Source organism: Homo sapiens, chromosome 3 (genome assembly GCF_000001405.40).
Source record: "Homo sapiens chromosome 3, GRCh38.p14 Primary Assembly".
NCBI lineage: Eukaryota > Metazoa > Chordata > Mammalia > Primates > Hominidae > Homo > Homo sapiens.
In genome coordinates this window covers 191,212,837-191,236,721 of record NC_000003.12, presented here as the reverse complement: position 1 = coordinate 191,236,721, position 23,885 = coordinate 191,212,837, and the positions used below count along the sequence as shown (strand labels likewise).

The following is a 23,885-nucleotide window of genomic DNA, read 5'->3' as shown; positions in this document are numbered from 1 at the left end:
TCCTGATGTCACGATATCTTAAGAACAAAAGTATTCTTAGTTTAAGAGTAAGTTTCACTTTAAAGATAATAATATAAATTATTGTGGAAGACAGTAGTTATACAAAGATTAACAATCCTTTGTCCCAAGCCCTTGTAGTAGCGCACATCTCCCCAAGGATTGTTTTTTTTTTTGCGTTATTATCTTATATATAAACAAGCATTATACCTAAAATGGACGCATTCCTCCTCTTGCTTTTGGGCCCTACTCTCTATGGAGTAGGCATTTTTTTGTTTCTTCATTTCTGTAATAAAATTGCTTTCACTTTACTCTGTGGACTTGCCTTAAATTCTTTCTTGTGTGACATCCAAGAACCCTCTCTTGGGGTCTGGTTCGGGACCCCTTTCTGGTAACAATACCTCCTTCTTAGTGTGTGATAGAGATTTTTAAAAAAGAATGTACCAGAATATTAAAATGGGATGCTTTCTATCTCAGTTTTTGGCTGTGGCTTTAAAAGGCTGAGTAAAAAAGAGACAGAAAGAGAGAAAGTATGTGGGAAGTATTTCGTTTTGCATTCCAAAGTGAGGTGCTAGACTTATGTAGTACTTCCAAAGGAGGTTGCTACAAACTTAGTTTTTTCCAACTTCAATCCAATAAAAGGATTCATATTGAATAGCTCAGGAAGGGAGAATTTCTTGGGAGCAAGTTATTGAAAAACAATGGCATTTTCCTTCCTCCTTCATATGGGGAAAGGGCTTTGAGAAAAACACTTCGAGTTTAAAATATGTCCATTGAAGCATGGTGAACCTAATAAAATAGTGTCTATGAAATCTAAAGGGCAAGAAGCTGTGAGAATTGGCTTGATACCAGACTGAAGAGATGACTGCACCAAGAACTGCTTCACTTTCAGTAATGAGAGTCAAGGATGTGGGTTTTCTGTGGGCAGATGTAGAGCATGTGGAGAGAGTCAGCCTGGGTCAATTATAAAAGGGACCTTGCCCCAAGGGCTTTCTGTCAGGGCTGATGGGGGAAGCAAACTCATCAGGATGCTGATGGTGGTGTCAAATGCAGAAGATGAGAGAGTAGGGTGAGGATGAGGGGCATAGCAGATCTGCCAGAAGAGGAGTATTATTGGAGGTAAGGACGCCTATGTTACTATTCGCACTGGGGGTTATGTGACCCCCAGAAACATTCCAAGATGAGTCAGCTTTGAGCATTCACCAAAGCCATGAGGGCACAAAGACAGGTCATGATATTATGTCAAGTAAGACTTTGTTTTACTTCTCTGCATGCATCTCCATCCCCAGTTCTGGAGGAGACAAAAGGCAGCCTACTGTGATAGGGGAGATTGTGAATATAAACTGGCCACAAGCTCCTTCCCACTGAAGCCTTCCAGGATGAATGGGGTCCAAGCTAGGGAAAAGAGAAGCTTTATTAGTATTCATGGTTTGGGGTCACATATAAGAATGGTTATTTGAATTACTGTTATATGGTTATTTTTCTAGTACAAGTAACCATAGGGATTCTTATTATTTTGATGTGGCCAGTAGAGCCATTAATACCTGCCTTTGGGTTTACTCAAGGGGTAGGGAACAACAACTACCACTGAGTGGGTTGGAATGCATGGGGATGGGAGGAAAAGCTGTTTTTTCTGATTATGACTTATGGAGTTTTTCTCTTTCAATTAGGTGGTATAATAACAATATTCTGGAGCAAAGTGTTTCTTGACCTAAATCTACAGAATGTGTATAATTTTGCTGGCTATCTTCCCTCTGCTCTCAGATGTATGCTGCCTTTTCTCACCCTACTTTCAGTCCTAGGAGGCTGATCTTTTTGGAACATATAAATGTTCCTGTGCCCTCTGGCTTTGGTGTGGATCAAGCAATAGATAATTTGGGGAAGACAGAATAGAGGAAGAGGAGGAGAGAGGTCAGGATAATTTTCTCCTGGCCACTCCTTGCAAGACCTCTTCCCGGGAGTATGCTCCTGAAGAAAAGTCACTACTTTTCTTTTCTTTTTGTGCTTTGCTTTTTTTTTTTTTTTTTTCAGATGGTGTCCCGTTCTGTTGCCCAGGCTGGAGTGCAATGGCGTGATCTTGGCTCACTGCAACCTCTGCCTCCCGGGTTCAAGCGATTCTCCTGCCTCAGCTTCCCAAGGAGCTGGGATTACAGGCGCGTGCCACCACACCCAGCTAATTTTTATATTTTTAGTAGAGACGGGGTTTCGCTTTGCTGGCCAGGCTGGTGACAAACTCCTACCCTCAGGCGATCCACCTGCCTCGGCCTCCCAAAGTGCTGAGATTACAGGCATGAGCCACTGCACCCGGCCAAGTCACTACTTTTCTCAAGGCATCTGAAACTCTGTGACTCTCTGACTTTTGGAAACCTCTTCCTTTCTTGTCTTTTCAGGCCACCGTGGGCTGCTGTGCCATCCATTATAATCTACCTGTACCCAGAGTTTTGTAAATAGTCTTCCTTTGAAAAAACCCTCCTCAAATTTTCCTATTTCAAAGGTGACACCTATTTCTTGTTGGAACCCTAACCCAATAGCATTTCTTGCTTTACTGACCTAAAATATTAAATGGGAGAATTAAAGCAATAAGAGTTGTACAAATATTTAATAGTAATTGAATTCAAATATAGAGCACTATTATTGTTATTATTTGCAAGACATTTTTAGTGTTGTGTGAAGGAGTGAGAGAAACCATTATTTAGAAAAATTCTAGGCCAATCATCAATTTTTTTTTTTTTGAGATGGAGTTTCGCTCTTGTGACCCATGCTGGAGTGTAATGGTGTGATCTCAGCTAACTGCAACCTCCGCCTCCTGGGCTCAAGTGATTCTCCTGCCTCAGCCCCCAAGTAGCTAGGATCACAGGCATGCGCCGCCACACCCAGCAAATTTTGTATTTTTAGTAGAGATGGTGTTTCACCATGTTGGTCATGCTGGTCTCAAACTCCCAACCTCAGATGATCTGCCTGCCTCGGCCTCCCAAAGTGCTGGGATTAAGGGCATGAGCCACAGTGCCTGGCCGTCAATATCTTCTAATGTTAAAGAGTCAGTCAGATAGTAGATACTATTCTTCCAGAAAAAAGTCAGGGCGTGGTAGCTCATGCCTGTAATCCTAGCACTTTGGAAGGTTGAGGCAGGCAGATCACTTGAGATCAGGAGTCCCAGCTACTTGGTAGGCTGAGGCAGGAGAATCGCTAGAACCCGGGATGTGGAGGTTGCAGTGAGCTGAGATTTTGCCACTGCACTCCAGCTTGGGTGACAGAGCAAGACTCTGTCTCAAAAAACGAAAAAAAGAAAACAGAAATAAAATGGTAACTTCAGACTTTAAACAAGTGAATGGAAATGAGAAAAATATTTTGGGCTTCAAAGTATAGTTGAGTTAGTGTTGCCCGGAGAATTGAAGTAATTTGCACATGAATCAGAAAATGAAGCTAGTGTCCTATTCAGGTAAAAATGTGTTAAGCAATACAAAATAGGAAACAACAGGTGGTTCTTTATTTCAAGTTAATATGACCTGATATAGGGTTTTCCCTGTTTAGCTTTTTATATTTGTTTCTTTTCATTTTTGTTTTCCCTAGCTTTCATGAATTTTTTTGTTTCCATCTCCTGGTGGACCTTTTTGAAAGTAGAGTTAATTTCCTTTTTCTTTTCTGATATTTTATAGTAATATAGAATTAAATAATATGTTTTGTACCCTGGTGACTCAGAGTTTTAAAATCTGGGATTATGGAGCAATATAATTCAGGGGCCTATACGTGTAGATGGGAAAGGGTTACATCTTTAGTTCCATTAACCTGTAAATGAAAGATAGCATTTATGACCGAACGCAGTGGCTCACACCAGTAATCCCAGCACTCTGAAAGGCAGAGGTGGGCAGATCACTTGAGGCCAGGAGCTCGAGACCAGGCTGGCCAACATGGAGAAACACAGTCCCTACTAAAAATACAAAAATTAGCCAGGTGTGGTGGCAGGCACCTATAATCCCATGCCTATAATCCCAGCTACTTGGGAGGCTGAGGCAGGAGAATCACTTGAAACTGGGAGGTGGAGGGAGCAGTGAGCCGAGATCTCACCATTGCACTCCAGCCTGGGCAACAAGAGCAAAACTGCGTCTCAAAAAAAAAAAAAAATGATTTAGTCACTGCCCTTCAGCCTAGGCAACAGAGTGAGACTCCATCTCAAAAAATAAAAATAAAAATAAACATAATTTTATATATATATATATAGCATTTACTTTATGAATATAGAAAAAAATAATAGTAATAGTTGTGTCTGAACATTGTTACTCATATAAATCACAAATACTTTCAAAGCACATTTTAATTATCACAGATGCTTTGAAATGGTTATGTTCTGCACTAGTTACAACAATTTTTTTTTTTTTTTTTTTTTTTTTTTTTTAGACAGAGTCTCCCTCTGTCACCCAGGCTGGAGTGCTGTGGCACAATCTTGGCTCACTGAAACCTCCGCCTCCCACGTGTTCAAGCGATTCTCATGCCTCAGCCTCCCGAGTAGCTGGGATTACAGTTGAGTGCCACCACGCCTGGCTGATTTTTGTATTTTCAGTAGAGACGGGATTTCACCACGTTGGCCAGGCTGGTCACGAACTCCTAACCTCAGGTGCTCTGCCTGCCTCGGCCTCCCCAAGTGCTGGAATTACAGGCATGAGCCACCGCACCCAGCCACAGCTATTGTTTGCAGACATATCTTTACATCTTATTTTAGGTATTAATAAATATAATATTTAAAATATTTTATGTATATGTTTTATTGCAAATTAATTAAAAAATTGTTTTTGATAATTCTGTTTCTAAACAGTGGCTAACCTTTGAACTCATAAATTCTATCACTCTAAAAACAATACTCTGAGAAGGGGTTCATAGGTTTCCCCAAATTGCCATAGTGACATATGACACAAAGTTTATGAATCCCTGAATTAAGTGATGTATGTGATCTTTAAGCACAGAGTATGGAAAATGGATCTCAGATGTATTACCTTCTCTTAGTAAGTATGGGAAGATAGAGAATGTGTGCCTGATAAGGGGAAAAACATGAGGGCATATACATGAAAATCGCAGACATTTATAAGAAACTCATGAAGTTTTTGTGCACACTCATGCGTATAACACTAACAAATAATTCCTGGTCTTGTGAAAGATCTAACAACACATAAGGAAGCAGTAAAATTCTTGTCTCATAGAATTTGAAAAAATAGCAGTAAATAACCCTCAGTACAGCTCTCCTAAGCAAAATTATTATAATTTTTATAAAATTTTATTTTTATGAAAAGTTTGCAAAATTGCAAGCTATACATTCTTGTTACTAAATACGTCACATTTTAGTCTTGTGGTTTATATATATGTGATATATATATATATGTGTGATTTTTTTAATGACGCTGAAGCCTTGGTAACAGATGACAGAAAATTTTAACACTGTATTATGTTTGAAGTATCATTACACCTCAAAATAAGTCTGAAATTGTTTTTAACTAAAACTCAGAAATGTCTATAGAAATATTTTATGCAATAACTATTATTTGTCTTTCATTGTTTTCTACTTCTGGAATATACAAAACAAGTTTCAGATTTGCTTTCAGAACAAAAAGAGGAATTCCTGTATTTAAAAAAATGCTGCCAAAAAATCTCAGAGGAAGTGTCCTTGGAATTTAACTTGAATGCATAAATTATCAACTATAAAAAATAAAAATATAGAAGACTAAAGAGTATGCATTCGGAGGGATTCTCAACTTCCGAAGCCCGTAGATGAGCTTCTGTGCAAATGCCTCATGCTCCTTAACACTGCCAAACTTCTCGAAATAGTTGGAGGTGAAGGTAAAGGAGAGAAAAAAGGAAAAGAAATAGTTCATTTTTAATTTCCTAGGGTCATCAATTATTTTACTAAATTCTTTTCTTGCTTTATACAGCATTGGATGAAACCTTTGCAATCTAGCTCCAGGGATGTTGATTAACGTTATATGGGTTCTGCACTGCACGTTCCAGAGGGCAGCAATATGAATGGTTGCAGAATGCAACATTCCTTTGTGACCCCAACTCTCCTTCCCAATTTCATTTCTTGTCCCATTTCTTATTCTTATCACCTGATAGTGAGTTCTCATGCTACTTAGCCCTTTTAAGAATGTGTCTTTTTTTTTTTTTTTTTTTTTTTTTGAGACGGAGTCTTGCTCTGGCACCAGACTGGAGTGCAGTGGCCCGATCTCAGCTCACTGCAACCTCCACCTCCCACGTTCAAGCGATTTCCCTGCCTCAGCCTCCTGAGTAGCTGGGGCTACAGGCGCCCACCACCATGCCCAGCTAATTTTTTGTATTTTAGTAGAGACAGGGTTGCATCATGTTGACCAGAATGGTCTCGATCTCCTGACCTGGTGATCTGCCCGCCTCTGCCTACCAAAGTGTTGGGATTACAGGTGTGAGCCACCGTGCCCAGCCAAGAATGTGCCCTTAATGTTTAAGCCCCTAAGCCATCTCCCACATGATTTTCTCATAGCAGAATAATCCCACTTAACCTGTCAGAAAGGACACTAATTTTGTGTGTCAAAATGTGTTATAATTACTGAATTTGAAAATGTTTTCACTATTTCTTGAAAAGTATTGAAAAAATATCCTAAGTTATTTATTTATTTATTTATTTATTTATTTATTTATTGAGACTGAGTCCTCACTCTGTTGCCCAGGCTGGAGTGCAGTGCTGCGATCTTGGCTCACTGCAACTTCTGCCTCCTGGGCTGAAGTGATTCTTGTGCCTCAGCCTGCCGAGTAGCTGGGATTACAGGCGCCCGCCACCATGCCCAGCTAATTTTTTGTATTTTTTGTAGAGACGGGGTTTCACCATATTGGGCAGGCTGGTCTCGAACTCCTGACCTCAAGCGATCCACCCGCCTTGACCTCTCGAAGTTCTGGGATTACAACTGTGAACCACTGCACCCGGCCCATAAGTTATTTAAATGGTAATTATTTCTCTTTTATTTGTTCCCATAAAGTTCTTATTAAACTATACATTAATTTGTTTCATTGCATTCTTCGCATGTTTTTGACATATTGAGTCATTTTCTTGGCCTTATTATGTGATTAATTTATTTACTCTTTTACTAGGTCTAATCTGCTGTTTATCTGATTGCTTAGTTTTTTAAGGAATTTATTATAAAATAGTTCAGACATATGACAAAATAGAATAGTATAACAAACTCCCATGTGCACATCATTCTAAGTCAATAATTATCAATTTATTGTAAACCTTACTTCATCCGTTCCACTCCCACTCCTGTATTATTTTTTTAAAAATCATGTTTAAATATTTAACTGAGGTATCCCTCTCATTTTTAAGGTCTGTACCATTTCATATTTTAAAGTAAATAATAGTTACTTAACATCATCAAATAGTTACTCTTCACATTCACAATTGTCTCTTACCTGTATTAATTTTTAAAAGGATTATTGTTTGAATCAGGACACATAAAACATTTTAACTGGTTAATAAATCCCTCTACTTTAGTCTTCAGAATCGCCTTCTCTTTCCATCTCCTTTCTAATCTCTTCAAACGCTGTAATTTATTTATGGAAGAAACTGGATTATTTGTCCTGTAGTTTCCCACAGTCTGGATTTTGCTATTTGCATCCCTGTAGTGTCTCTGAACTCATTTCTGTCTTTCACATTTCCTGAAAATTGGTAGGTGTAGATCTAGAGACAAGACTGTTTTTGGCAATACTGTTTTACAGGTAGTGCTGGGTTCTATTACCAGGAGGCATATAATGACTTGCTGTTTTCTTCTTGTGATGCTAACAACAGTTAATGACAATTGTCTAGATCCATCATTTCATTAGGGTTTGCAAAATAGAAATTTTCTAATTCTATCATTTTTTAGCCATAATAATTGTATAAAGAGAAATTTCTACCTCGTTTACTAATTCCACAATTTCTTGATTGTTTTAGATGGAAAAATTCTATAAAGAGAAAATTCCACCTCCTCTACTGTTAGTGGTGAAGCTCACATAAGAAAGGTAGGTTTAATGTCCTCTTCATTTATATGTTTTCAAAAGCAATGAACTGATAACTAGTATTTTCTAAAGATTTTTCAGTCATAGATTTAAACAGATTTAATGCATTCTACTGGGAAGAAAATGTCAGTAAATTTTGTTGAAGTAGTAAAAATACAGTTGATCTAGCAGGAACATAAAATTATTTTCTAATAAGATAATACTGCACTCCTACCAAATAAACAGGATTTTAGTAATATCTGAGGGATTTTTGATGGTGAGTTAGACTGTATTTGGCGTAGAATTTGGAAATGTAACTTAAATGTAAATATGCTGCAAAATGTTGAATGTATACACAGAAACACTTTTTCTGTCAATGCCAAATGCCCATTGAAAATGAACCTTAAATATTACATTCCTCCTTTGCACAATAATATTTCTTTATAAAACTCATGATTTTGTTCCCCCAGGCAGAGTTGGGGCAGAAAATGTGCAAAGTGAGCTTGAATATCTTGTCCTACCTGATAGCAAGGAAGCTTATTATTTCTAATTTCAGGTCAAAAGAACTCAAGAGCCAATTTGAGGACATTCTGATTAGCTAAAGTATGACAATCTGAGCATCAGTAAGATCATCAATTACAAACCATTTTGAAAAATCGTATTGCTAGTGATAATCTTGGTATTGCTATTCTGAGATAGTTGAGTTTGCATTGTGAAATAAAGCAAATATGTATTTATTTGATAATCTGATTCTGTCATTCTTGGTGTAAATAAGAAAGGGGATTCGTGGCATGGAAAAAATGAAATAAAGTTATAAGTTGAACGTGTTAAATAAAATTATAACACCTGATATGGCATGATTTCAAAATGTCCACAAAAATTCATATTAGCATATATTTATGTTCCTGAATATCAGTATGCACTCATGACTCAGTCTGTGCACTAAAATTCCTAAAAACAATCACTAATCCAAGCGAAATTAGCAACCCTAATGCCCAGATGGTCGTCTGTCAACACCACTTTTCACTTAAAGGATGCAGTAAGCCTCCTCAGAAAAACAGTCGTTCCCCCAGAACGACAAACTGCCTTTAAGAGTCATTTCTTTGTTATCACAGGTGTCAAAATTTTTCTGTATTTTGTTTATAATTTTATTTTTTAAATAAAAAGTTTATAAAAATGGTTCTAAAATGAATAGCCTTATGCGTGCTTTCGTCTTCTAAACACACTTTTACTAGTATATATTTGGCAGAGATATCTAGAAATAGGAGGAAGGCAGGGCCAAAAAGTAAGTACACATGCACTATGCTGGATATTGCCATATTCCCCTCCATGTGGGTTCCATTTTGCACTCCAATCAGCACCACGTGGGAATGCCTTTTTCTCATAGCCTCAGTAATTATTTTGGTTTTTCAAAAATCCATTTTTTACCAGTCTATCAGGTGAGGAATTGTATATCAGTAAAATCATAGTGCACTTTTTTCTTATAACAAGAATGTTATGCATCTTTTCACATGGCTAAAGGCAATTTGCATTTTTTTCATGAATTGACTACTGTTTTTACACCATTTTTCTACAGTTTGTTCTTTTTCTTCTTTATTTTTCAAGGTTCTTTATTAAATATAGTAACCCTTTGATATAAGTCATAAACATTTTTTCCAGTTTATTCTTTGAGTTTTTACTTTGTTTTATGGTATCTTTTGTCATGATAACTTTAAAATATGTAATTAATTTTTTCCTTATTTTTTCTATTCAAATTTTACGTCTGAATTTAGAAGAGCTTCTCTATTCCTTCTCTATGTAGAACTTCCAACAATGTCTTCTTCTAATACCTATGTGGGGTCATCTATTTCTTCAATCAAATCTCTGATGCATTTAGAATTTATCATAATGTATAGTTTGAGAATGAATTAATTGAATCTTTTTACTCATATCCCAACATCACTTATTCAAACTATATTCTTTTACTTACTAATATGAGATGCTACTTTTTATACATTTTAAAGTTGCATATGAAATGGAGTCTATTTATTGAATTTCTCTTCTGATCTATCTATGGGCAATGCTATTGTAAAAAAAGACTATATAATGTTTTAAATATCTGGTAGGGCTCTTTTTTGCAGAGTTTTTGTGGCTATGCCAGCTTTTATTCTTTCAAATGAACTTTGTAATCAACACTGATGGCACTTTTTATTAGAATTGTGTTAAGTTTGTAATTTAACTTAAGTGGAGCTGATATGTTTGTGCTTTTGCGTCTTTTGACTTAAGAACACAGTATGTGCCTGAACCATTAAATAAGATATTGGCTTTTGGGCTAAAATACAAACACACACATACATGTACATCATGTTTAAAAAGTGTTTCTCAGTTCTTATTCTGTTGCACTTTCTTAGACATTAATAAATATTAGATTTTGTCAAATACCTCTTCTGTCACCTATTGATATAATCATATGACTTTTATCTATTGTTGTATTAATATGAAAGATTACATTAAATAATTACTAATATTAAATCATATTTACTTTCCTGGAATAAACCCCCCTTGGTCAAGATGCATTATATTTTTAAAAGTGTTGTTGGATTCTATTTGCTAACATTTTATCTATGACTTTTGTCTCGATATTCATATATGAGATAAGTCTAATGCTTCCTGTTTTGTAAGTACTGCACACTAACCAATTGCACTACTGAAGCTCCTAAAATTTTCTTATTTATTTATTTGAAATACATTTTATTCTTTTACAAAGTATTTTTAAAAAATATTTTATTTTAGATTCAGGGTATGTACGTGTAGGTTTGCTACATGGGTTTATTGGGCGATGCTGGGGTTTGAGATTTTAGTGAATCCATCACCTATATAGTGAACATAATACTCAGTAGGTAGTTTATCAACTCCTCTCTCTTCCCTTCCACCTTTTGTAGCCTCCAGGGTCTATTGTTTTCCTCTTTATGCCCATGGGTACCCACTGTTTAGCTTCCACTTATAAGTGAGAACATCTAGTATTTGATTTCCTGTTTCTGTATTAATTCAGTTAGAATAATGGCCTCCAGCTGCATGCATGTAGCTGCAAAGAACATAATTTTCTTCTTTTTTATGGCTGTGTAGTATTCCATTGTGTCTATATACCACATTTTCTTTATCCAGTCCACCATTATTGGACACTTAGGTGATTCCATGACTTTACTATTGTGTATAGTGCTGCAATAAACATGATTTCCTTGTTTAAATGTAGTTTTTGGTGATTTGGGAGTCAATATGACACTTGTTTCAGGAAAGGAATTTGGAAATTTCCTTTAAAAAAATATTCTCTGAAAAGATAAAGTACTATTGAAATTATTTGATAGCTTAAGATTTGGTAAAATTCTCCTGTGAAAATATCTGAATCTGGTACTTCTGTTGGCAAATTAAATAAAAACGGTAAATAAAATTAATAATAAATAAACTTTAAAGAAACGGTAATTGGAGTGTATCTATTTGAACCAATGTTTATAAGTTGTATTTTCTAACAATTTATTCATTTTTAAAGGTACTGAATTTGTTTATAGAGAATTGAGCATAGTAGTTTCCTATTTTTCAAGTTCTTCTTTTGTAATGACTATTTCCATGTTGTCATTTCTAATTTTGTAAATTTACTTTCTACTTTTTTCTTAAGTAAGCCTGGCTTGTCTTTTTGTTGATATAATAAAAGCAGCTTTGCATTGATTTATTATATTTTATGTTGTGCTTTATAAACTTACTGATTTCAGCTTTCATCATTGTTAATTTTTACCTTATGCTTTTTTTCTGCTTATGTTGGTTTACTTTGCTGTTCTTTCTACATTTTTTTGCTGTAATATTTGCATTATTTGTATTTTTTTATTACTATCATGCTAGTTTGTATCTAATATTTTCTTTTCTGCCCATCATATTGTATTTTTATTATTATTTTCAATAAAGTGTGTAAGAATACAAAATAAAAATGCAAAAATAAAATTTGGTATTCTTCTTTAACCAAATAGTAAATGACATGGTTTGTATTTTCCAGGTAAGACTGTCTTCTTGTTTTTGATTTTGTTATTAATTTCTAGTTTTACTATATTTCAGTTAGTGATTGTTTTTGTAATATATCTGTTCTTTGGAATATCCTAAGGTTTGTTTGTCACCTAAGATATGGTAAATTTTATAAATGTTCCATATTCACTGGAAAATAAGTTATATTCTCTATTATTGTAGTCCAAAGTTCAAAACAGATTTATAATGTATATTTTATGAGTTATGTTGTGTAGATCTTCTATCAATTTTGAATATATAATCGGTCTTGGATTTTAAACAATTAATTAAGCTCTTCTATTATTAATATGTTTCTTTTTTTTTTTTTTTTCTGAGATGGAGTTTCACTCTTGTTGCCCAGGCTGGAGTGCAATGGTGAGATCTTGGCTCACTGCAACCTCTGCTGCCATTCTCAAGTGATTCTCCTGCCTCAGCCTCCCAAGTAGCTGGGATTACAGGCATGCACCACCATGGTTGGCTAATTTTGTATTCTTAGTAGAGACGGGGTTTTTCCATGTCGGTCAGGCTGGCATCCAACTCCCGACCTCAGGTGATCTGCCCGCCTCAGCATCCCAAAGTGCTGGGATTACAGGCATGAGTCATGGTGCCCGGCCTTATTAATACATTTCTTTCTATTTTCTGGCATTCTTTGTAGTTTCTCTTTGGTAAATGATGTTGCACTGTTTTTCATTTTTAAGTTATTTTTTTTTCTGGTATCGTTTGTTCATTCTTTTACTATTATCCATCCTAAATCTTGTTATTTTTAATTGCATCTCTCAAATACAGAAAAGTATTTTATTTTCCTTTATCAGCAAGTCTGAAAACACTGGCATTTTAATAGGCAAGTTATAGCCATCCACATTTATTGATATAATAGATTTTTAAATCATATTTTAAAACTTACATATGAGTTTATTACATACAGGATTTCTCTGTATTCTATTTTATCGTGCTTTTTTTCATAGAGAAATTTTAGTTTTTATTCTTATGATTATTTTTGTATTAATATTTTTATATAATAATCTTGCACCTCTCTGTTTTCAGTTTTTGTCTATTGTTATTTAGTACAAGATTTATAAAATTCAGTTTGTAATGTTTTCTTTCTTCTTCAGTCCCCAAGCATCTATTTGTTGTAATAATTTTTTATTTTCAGTTAATAGCCGTGAAGCAATCAAATACTCATTCCAAATTTTATGTACTATCACGTTTTACCTGAAAGTTTGATGGTTGTGCTGTATCTGTTTTTTCAAACCGTGTACTATAACACATTCTCTTTCTTGCTACCATCATTTTACTTTGCTTTTAAAGTTAATGCTCACACCTAATTCTAATGGTGATATCTCCCCAGCCATTTGGCTTGCCCAAGGTAACTCATGTATTAGCTTCCTCAGGATATGCTCATGGAAGGAATATTCCCTAAATTTTTGCATATTTATAATGGCTTATTTGTAGCTTTCATACGTGAAAATCTGTTCAGATGGCTATTAAACGCTTGCTAATTTCCCCTTTTTTCTTGCAAGCTGAGCTATATTTGATAGCTAGCTAGATAGATTATATCACCTAGGTAGTTTCTCATTATGGTACTTTCTAAAGAAATTATTATGGTTTATTAGTCCATTCTCACACTGCTATGAAGGACATACCTGAGACTGGGTAATTCATAAAGGAAAGAATTTTAATTTAATTTTAAATTTAAATTAATTTAATTTTAATTCCCCACAGGGCTGGGGAAGCCTCAGGAAACTTACAATCATGGTAGAAGGAGAAGCAAACACATCCTTCTTCACGTGGTGGCAGCAAGAAGTGCAGAGCAAAAGGGAGGGAAAGCCTTTTATAAAATCATCAGATCTCATGAGAACTCACTCACTCTCATGAGAACAGCAGCATGGGGGTAGCCACCCCCATGATTCAATTACCTCCCACTGGTCCTTCCCATAACACGAGGGGATCATGGGAACTAAAATTCAAGACAACATTTGGATGGGGACACAGACAAACCATATAATTCCATCCCTGGCCCCTCCCAAATCTCATATCTTCCCATTTCAAAACATGATCATCCCTTCCCAGCAGTCCCACAAAATCTTAACTCATTCCAGCATTAACCTAAAAGTCCAAGTCCAAAGTTCATTTGAGACAAGGCAGTTCTCTTCTGCCTATGAGCCTGAAAATCAAAAGCAAATTAGTTACTTCCTAGATACAATGTGGGGGGACAGGCATTGGGTAAATACACCTGTTCCAAATAGGAGACATTGGTCAAAATGAAGGGGCTACAGGCCCCATGCAAGTCTGAAATCCAGTGGGGCAGTAAATTCTTAAAGCTCCAAATTAATCTCCTTTGACTTCATGTCTCACATCCAGGTCATCCCCTCTTGGCTGCTTTCACGAGCTGGTGTTGAATGTCTGTGGCTTTTCCAGGTGCACAGCAAAAGATCTACCATTCTGGGGTCTGCAGGATGGTGGCCCTCTTTTCACAACACTACTAGGCAGTGGGGACTCTATGTGGGAGCTCCAACCCAAAATTTCCCTTCTGCACTGCCCTAGTAGTGGTTCTTCATGAGGGCTCTGCCCCTGCAGCAAACATCTGCCTGGGCATCCAGTATTTCCACACATCCTCTAAAATCTAGGTGGAAGTTGGCGAACCTCAATTCTTGCCTTCTGTGCACCCATAGGTAAAACAGCATGTGGAAGCCGCCAAGGCTTGGGGCTTGCACCCTCTGAAACCATGGCCCCAGTTATACTTTGGCCCTTTTTAGCCAAGGCTGGAGTGGCTGGGAAGCAGGTTACCAAGTGCAGGTTCCTGGACCTGGCCCAAGAAACCATTTATCCCTCCTAGGCCTATGGCTCTGTGATGGGAGGGGCTGCTGTGAAGACTTCTGACATGCCCTGGAGATATTTTCCCCATTGGCTTGGTGATTAGCATTTTGCTTCTAGTTATTCATGTACATTTCTGCTGCTGGATTAAATTTCTCCCCAGAAAATGGGTTTTTCTTTTCTACTGCATCATCAGGCTGCAAATTTTTCAAACTTTTATGCCCTGCTTCCTCTTGAACACTTTGCCATTTAGAAATTTCTTCCACTAGATACCCTAAATCATCTCTCTCAAGTTCAAAGTTCCTCAGACCTCTAGGGCAGGGGCAAAATGCTATCAATCTCTTTGCATTGCAAGAGTGACCTTTAATTCATTTCCCAACAAGTTCCTCATCTCCACCTGAGACCACCTCAGCCTGGACTTCATTGACCACATCACTATCAGCATTTTGGCTAAAATCATTCAACAAGTCTCTAGGAAGTTCCAAACTTTCCCATATTATCCTATCTTCTTCTGAGCCCTCCAAACTGTTCCAACCTCTGCCTGTTACCCAGTTCTAAAGTTGCTTCCACATTTTCAGGTGTCTTTATAGCAGCACCCCACTCTCTGTGGTACCTGTTCTTATGTTGGTATGAAGGACATACCTGAGACTGGGAAATTTATAAAGGAAAGCGGTTTAATTGACTCACAGTTCCACAGGGCTGGGGAGACCTTAGGAAACTTACAATCATGGCAGAAGGGGAAATAAACATGTCCTTCTCCACATGGTGGCAGCAAGGAGAAGAGCAGAGCGAAAGGGAGAACGCCTCTTATAAAGCCATCAGATCTCGTGAGAACTCACTGACTATCACAGGAACTTCAGCACGGGGGTAACCACACCCATGATCAATTACCTTCCCCTGGGTCCCTCCTATGATACATGGAGATGATGGGAACTACAATTCAAGATGAGATTTCAATGGGGACACAGCCAAACCATATCATGTGGTGAAGTTTCAATGTAAATTATATAGTATTTACGCAGTGTATATTTAGTATACTATAGTATTTATGCTATAATAAATTTATAAATATTTATGTACAGCATTTATATATTGATTTATAGATTATTTAGTTGACCATGTTGAAATATCCAGGAGCCAAATAAATAACATTTATTAGAAGGCACCATATTTTCTTCTCTAAAAGCTCAACTATTCTTTGGATGCCGATGTTCTTCTTTTTAGATTAGTTTTTAAACATATATTTATTTTTGATATACTTACCCAGCAGTGGTGGTGCTGGAACATACGGTAGCTCAATTTTTAGTTTTCTGAGGAACCTCTAAACTGTTCTCTATAGTTGTTATACTAATTTACATTCCCACTAACAGTGTACTAGCATTCTCTTTTCTCTTCATCATTTCTTGTATTACAATTTGTTATAAATAATACTATGTTATCAATTAGTATGTGATTTTTTTTGAGGTATGTAAACTATATTTTTCTCCTCTTTTTCACCAGAACCTAACATAGTACCCAGAACATAGTGGAACTAATTTCTATTTCTCTAGTTAAAGTAGGGTCTAAATTTCAAAATATAGGAGAGGATTATTTTTCACATACATGTAGTATAAGGTATGGTCTTCAAATGATGATTTTATTTTCTAGTGTAGCTTTGAGAATCTTTCAGAACAGAGGTATAGCAAATTGCGACAAGTATCCTGATAATCATTTAGCATAAAAAACCAGGGAACCAGGAACAAGAATGAAAAGTCCCAGGTCTCTAAGAATTAAGAAAGATGGTGGCAAAGGATGTGAAAATGAGTACAAGAAGAAATGAGGTTCCAGATTATGAAATTCCCTGTAGCTCTTGCAAAGGAGTTTGACTTTTGTACTGTAAGCAATGGATAACATTTCACACAGACTTTTGTTTTAGATGATTAGCCTGCTAGCCGAGTACAGGATACGTTGGTGATAAAGGGGTGATGATGGTGGTGGAGGTAGAGATGAGGAAAGAGTGGAGAAAGAATAAATGTTAAAAAAATTTAATAATTTAGGCCAGAATTAGAAAAGCCTTAATGAAGAGTGATATTCTGGAGATATTTAATATGTAAAGCAAACAGTATTTAGAGAATTTAGTGAGAAATGTTCAGGATGAGCTAAAGGAATCTTGGTCAATTTCCCAGATTCCTGTCTATGGTACTTGTGTGGTCTTTTGTGCCACTTCTAATATGAAATGTACAGTATGAAGAACAGATATTGAAGGGGTAGAAAATGAACTAAGTTTGGAATGATTACTTTAAATTACTGACATAAAGGGATATTTCACTACTCTAAATCCGTAATTAGCATTCTATGAAGCACTTACATTTGATTATCTCATTTGAATTTTATGGAAGCAAGTAATTATTCTCACTTTATGCATAAATAAGCTGAGGATCAGAGAGGATAAGATACTTTACAAGTCACATAGGAAGAAACAGAAATTTGACAGAAACACATGCGTTCTGACTCCACGTTCTGAGAACTTGTCACTCAGATTCATTCACACAATGTGGAACGGTTTGCATCACAGGTAAAAACCAAAGGGTATTCCTGTTACCTCTAGTAAATGGAAAACTCAGTTCACCAGAACATTTATGCCACTGAGCATACATTTTGCGCCACCTCCCAAATGCAGTAATGTCTTATAATAACTGCTTTATATCTGCATAAGACAGAATCTTTCTTAGGAAACATGACAAAAATGCTAAGGCACACTGCGGCAGTCATTTTGCTCCCTAAACAGTTACTTAGAAAACTGTATTATTAAACCTACAGATTAGCTAACATACCGTCAAATCTGTTTATATATACAAGGTTTTCACTGTATTTTTCATGTGGAATTCTCTCAGATTTAGAATCCAGAAGGAAATAATTAGAAAATAAAAACTTTCTTTTTCTGAGTTCACTTACCTCTGTTTACCTTTGTGATCTACAGAGCCAGCTGAGAGTCTGTCAAGGGGAGACCCAAAACCAGAGAAACTCCTTTTCTTCTTTGTCTCAATCACATCATTTTCTAGGGACACCAATTCATCAAGAAGCAAGAGTTTTGCTGTCAGGTCAGTGGCTGATTTCTCTTCCCTGACTGTGGGTGTTGACTGCACATCTATGACTCCAGAATCAAAGGCCTATAAGGCAGAGAAAGGCGATTCCGTTAATTTAGACAAAGAGACTCCAAGTATGTACATATGCATCTGGCTTTTGCTACTGTTAGCTGACATACTCATCATGTAACATCTTACAATTTTTTTGAGACAAAGTTTTGTGCTTGTTGTCAAGGTTGGGGTGCAATGGCGTGATCTCGGCTCACTGCAATGTCCACTTCCCAGGTTCAAGCAATTCTCCTGCTTCGGCTTCCCAAGTAGCTGGGATTACAGGCGCCTGCCATCATGCCTGGCCAATTTTTTGTATTTTTAGTAGAGATGGGGTTTCACCATGTTGGCCAGGCTGGTCTCGAACTCCTGACCTCAGGTGATCCACCCACCTTGGCCTCCCAAAGTGCTGTGATTGCAGGTGTGAGCCACAACACCTGGCCTTAGAATTTCTTATGAAGTTATTTTCCATAGAGAGTGCTAGATCTTTGGGGACTGAAACACATAGTAGAGGGGTATAACGAAGGGAAAAAATAAAACAAGAAAAGAAAAGAAAAACTCCTGGAATGCTTTAAAATTTAGCATATTTACGGATCATTTTTTCAGATTCTGTTTCAGCAACAACTTCATCCTTCCTTATCATTCCCATAGTGCTTTATCTATATACCTCTTTCATCACTGCACTTATTATTTTTTGCCTTGTGCCAGGTTGGTTACTGTATATTTGTACTTGTTATTAGTCAATGACTTTGTCTAATTAGTCTTTCATTTACTTTATTTAATGCTTCATCTCGTATTTTGCTCATAGTATTCAACAAATTTCTGATGAATATTTATTAAATGAATTCCCAACCAAATCTCATTCTATTTTTTTTTTTACCATTCATTCATCATTTACTAACTCAAGCCATTACTAATCCAGTGTGTGCTAGGTTCTGCATTGGACATGAAGGATACAAAAATAAAAATTTAGTCTCTGTTTCTAAGCATCTCACCATCTCTATCCCTGTGATTTATTAACAAATACTAGCATCTGCAATGTGTCTGAGATATCCCAATAACTTTGTGCCCCATGTAAAATTTCTTGTTTGGTTCTTACACATATTGCCACTTTGTACTTCATCCAAATCATAAATGTATAGCTGTCCAGTTTGTGAAGTCTGTCTTTTCCTCTCTGAGGCCCAATGGCAGCATTTCTTAAATGCTCCTATTAACAATCTTGAGTCATTCTGTAGTCCCACAAATACTGCTTTTTTTTCTAAGATCGTGAGAATATTCCCATGAGGGAAAAATTTTTTAGCTCTGGGGAATCTCTTCCCTTCCCACTTTTAGTCATTCTTCCATGTGCCAGACTGTTGGTCTTGGTTTTGAGTTTTCTTCACTTTCTGTTTTTCTTCTAAGATTATTCCTTCTATTGTCTTTTGATATGGTTTGGCTGTGTTCCCATCCAAAATATCATCTTGAATTGTAATCCTCATACTCCCCAAATGTCAAAGGAGAGATCAGGTGGAGGTAACTGAATTATGGGGGCAGTTTCTCTCCTGTGGTTCTTGGGATAGTGAGTGAGTTCTCATGAGAGCTGCTGGTTTCATGTGTTTGGCAGTTCCTCCTGCATTCATTCTTCCTGCTGCCTTGTGAAGAAGGTGCCTTGCTTCCCCTTTGCCTTCCACCATGATTGTAAGTTTAACGAGGACTCCCCAGCCATGCAGAACTGTAAGTCAATTAAACCTCTTTCCTTTATAAATAACACACTGTTGGGCAGTTCTTTATAGCAGTATGAAAATGGACTAATACAGTAAATTGTTACCAAAGAGAGTGGGGTGTTGCTATAAAGATACCCAAAAATGTGGAAGCAACTTTGGAAATGGGAAATAGGCAGAGGTTGGAACAGTTGGGAGGGCTCAGAAGAAGACAGGAGGACGTGGGAAAGTTTGAAACTTCCTAGACACTTGTTGAATATTTTTTACCAAAATGCTGATAGTTTTATGGACAATGAAGTCCAGGCTGAGGTGATCTCAGATGCAGATGAGGAAATTGTTGGGAACTGGAGCAAAGGTGACTGTTGCTATGCTTTATCAAAGAGCCTGGCAGCATTTTGCCCTGGCCCTAGAGATCTGTGGAACTTTGAACTTGAGAGAGATGGTTTAGGGTATCTGGCAGAAGAAATTTCTAAGCAGCAAAGCATTCAAAATATGAGCTGGTGCTCTTAAAAGCATTCAGTTTTATGTATCACAAGGAGATGGCTTGAAATTAGAAGTTATGTTTAAAAGGGAAGCAGAGCAAAAAGTTTGGAAAATTTGCAGCCTGATGATGCAATAGAAATGAAAAACCCATTTTCTGGGGAGAAATTTAATCCAGCAGCAGAAATTTGCATGAGTAACTAGGAGCCAAATGCTAATTGCTAAGACAATGGGGAAAATGTCTCCATGGCATGTCAGATGTCTTCATGGCAGCCCCTCCCATCACAGGCCCAGCGGCCTAGGAGGGAAAAATGGTTTAATAGGCCAGGCCCTGGGCCTTGCTGCTTTATGCAGTCTTGGGACTTGGTGCCTTGCATCCCATCTGTGGCTAAGGGGGCCAACATACAGATAGGGCATTCTTTCAGAGGGTTTAAGCCCCAAGCCTTGGTGGTTTACACTGGTTTACACATGTTTGGGGGCCTGCTGGTACATTGAAGTAAATAATTGAGTTTGGGGGACCTCTGCCTTGATTTCAGAGGATGTATGGAAATACCTGGATGTACAGGCAGAAATTTACTAAAGGGGTGGAGCCCTCATGGAGGACCTCTGCTAGGACAGTGCAGAAGAGAAATGTGGGGTCGGAGCCCTGACACAGAATCCCCACTGTGGTACTGCCCAGTAGAGCTGTGAGAAGTGGGCCACAGTACTCCAGGCCCCAAATTGGATAGCTCCACCGACAGCTTGCACTGTGCATCTAGAAAAGCCACAGACACTCAATGCCAGCCCATGAAAGCTGCTGAGAGTGGGGCTGTACCCTGCAAAGCCTCAGGGGCAGAGCTGCTCAAGACCATGGGAACCTACCTCTTGCATCAGCATGACCTGGATGTGAGACATGGAGTCAAAGGAAATGGTTTTGGAATGATCTCCAAAGGTTTAATAACTGCCCTGTAGGATTTCTGATTTGCATGGGGTCTGTGGCCCCTTTGTTTTGGGCAATTTCTCCCATTTGGAGTGGGTTTATTTGCCCAATGTCTGTACCCCCATTGAATCTAGGAAGTAACAAACTTGCTATTGATTTTACAGGCTCATAGGTGGAAGGGACTTGCCTTGTCTCAGATGAAACTTTGGACTTGACTTTTTGGTTAATGATGGAATAAGTTAAGACTTTGGAGGACTGTTGGGAAGGCATGATTGTGTTTTGAAATGTGAGGACCTGAGATTTGGGAGGGGCAAGTGGCAAAATGATATGGTTTGGCTGTGACCCTACCAAAAATCTCATCTTGAATTGTAATCCCCATAATCCCCACATGTCAAAGGAGAGACCAGGTGGAGGTGATTGAATCATGGGGATAATTTCTCCCATGCTGTTCTCATGATAGTGAGTTCTCACAAGATCTGGTGGTTTTATAAATGTTTGGTAATTCAGTCTCCTTCCCGCCACCTTGTGAAGAATATGCCTTTCTTCACCTTCACCTTCTGCCATGATTGTAAGTTTCCTGAGGCATCCCCAGCCATGCAGAACTATAAGTCAATTAAATCTCTTTCCTTTATAAATTACCTAGTCTTGGGCAGTTTTTTGTTGTGTTGTTTTGAGACAAAGTCTCACTCTGTTGCCCAGACTAGAGTCCAGTGATTTGATCTCGGCTCACTGCAACCTCTGCCTCCCAGGATCAAGTGATTCTCCTGCCTCAGCCTCCTGAGTAGCTGGGATTATGGGTGGTCACCATCACACCCAGCTAATTTTGCATTTTTGGTAGAGATGGAGTTTCACCATGTTGGACAGGTTTGTTTTGAACTCCTGACCTCAAGTGATCCACCTACCTTGGCCTCCCAATGTGCTGGGATTACACCACACCTGACCAAGTAGTTCTTTATAGCAGTATGAAAATGGACTAATACATTTTTCTGTTCTCTTCATTTTCTCCAGTAGAACAAAAGAGTAGCATTTTCAAGCCCTTTAATCATTGACTCAAGCAAGTCTCTTTTAAAATACTTGTAGCCTGGTGTACAAACTGAAAGCTATTGAGCCTCCTGTTTCCTTATACAGTCATATGTGCCCTAAGTCTCGTCAGTTCTTGCAGGACAATCTCTCTTCTGGCTGCTATTTTTGATTCCCATCAGTGGTGGTTTTTTGTTGCTGTTTTTTTTTTTTTTTTTTTTTTTTTTGAGATGGAGTCTCACTCTGTTAACAGGCTGGTGCGATCTTGGCTCACTGCAACCTCTGCCTCCCAGGTTCAAGTGATTCTCCTGCCTCAGCCTCCCAAGCAGCAGGGACTACAGGCGCCCACCACTACCCCCAGCTAATTTTTGGATTTTTAGTAGAGAGAGGGTTTCACCATGTTGGCCAGACTCTTCTCCAACTCTTGACCTCTGGTCATCCAAGTGGTGACTTTAAATGAAGTCCTCTTTACTGCTTAGTGTACTCCCTTAATCACCTTACAATTTGCTTTGATACCTCCAATCTCTCTCTTCTCTATTTCACCCATAATACTGTTATAAAGTTAGTTATCCCCAATACCACTTTTGTCATATAAAAAGAAAATTACAAATCTTTCACAGTTCTTTATTACTTATAGCACAAATCCCACAATATGGTTTCAAACTATTCCTCAGATCTTAGCTTCTGTCACTTCCTTATATAAGCCTGATAACATAGAAACTGGAGATGGGAAGGATGCAAATGACCAGAAAGAAACCCTACAGGAGATAAACCTTCAAAGGGTAAAGAATTTTTTATCTTTCCAAGCATCCTCCAAAAATATGCTTTTATTCTTCCAACTAACACACACTACACAATCGTTTTTTTAAGAAACATCCTTAATCTTAAAAAAAAAAACTTTTAGAAAACTTGTCCTTTAATATAATGCTTTTCAGACTCTCACTTTATGCTATTTAAGAAACACAAAGAACATGTTTCTAATAAGATCAAATAAACTAATTTTTCTCCTTGTGATGCCCTCACATTTCTTTTTCTTTGTACTTTAGTCATAGCACCAAGAAAATATTTGTACTGTAATTAAAAGTTTGAACAAAACTACTCAAATTTTGGCATGCAAACAACTTCAAATTTTACATAAAAGCCCTTCATTCTGACATAACTGATTCAATTAAATATAGCTATAATAATGGATTTTCTCTTAAAGCTTTTTTTGTTCAAGGAATTCAAGTCTTTGTTCTTAAGTTTCTTTCCACGTTTAGATAACTGGCTTGCTCCGACTCCTCTGTGAGGAGAAGATCGTGATTACTGCTCTTTTCATTTCAGGTTCACAACCTTGAATGGCATGTTGGCAATAAAAAGAAGACAATAAAAAACTACCGATTTTCTTGATTTTGTGTTATTTCTCTATTTTATTTTGTGTACATTTTCTTATTGGTAGCTGCACCTCCTTCTTACTCTAGTAGAAATGAAATGTTTACAAAAGAGTCAAAAAATAGGCCGGGCGTGGTGGCTCACGCCTGTAATCCCAGCACTTTGGAAGGTTGAGGCGGGCGGATCTCGAGGTCAGGAGTTCAAGACCAGCCTGGCCAATATGGTGAAACCCTGTCTCTACTAAAAATACAAAAATTAGCTGGGCGTGGTGGCACATGCCTATAATCCCAGCTACTTGGGAGGCTGAGGCAGGAGAATCGCTTGAACCTGGGAGGTGGAAGTTGCAGTGAGCTGAGATTGCACCACTGCACTCCAGCCTGGGCGACAGAGTGAGACTCTGTCTCAAAAAAAAAAAAAAAAAAAAAGAAAGAAAAGAAAAGGAAACGTTTACAAAAG

The 23,885-nt window shown here is 37.5% G+C and overlaps 1 protein-coding gene and 1 long non-coding RNA gene across 3 annotated transcripts in view; one reads left to right on the top strand and one right to left on the bottom strand.

The window, feature by feature from the left end:
• Window positions 1–23,885, bottom strand: part of OSTN (osteocrin) — a 66,375-nt gene that overhangs the window by 28,894 nt on the left and 13,596 nt on the right. For both annotated transcript variants that reach the window (NM_198184.2, XM_017006303.3), the window contains exon 3: window positions 17,761–17,975. In NM_198184.2, the coding sequence (NP_937827.1) occupies window positions 17,761–17,975 (215 nt within the window). The remainder of the gene's footprint in view (window positions 1–17,760; window positions 17,976–23,885) is intronic.
• Window positions 2,117–23,431, top strand: OSTN-AS1 (OSTN antisense RNA 1). The gene is made up of 6 exons (NR_133663.1): window positions 2,117–2,150; window positions 6,825–6,956; window positions 7,940–8,007; window positions 17,786–17,906; window positions 19,543–19,652; window positions 23,382–23,431. It is a non-coding gene; the product is annotated as an OSTN antisense RNA 1 (long non-coding RNA).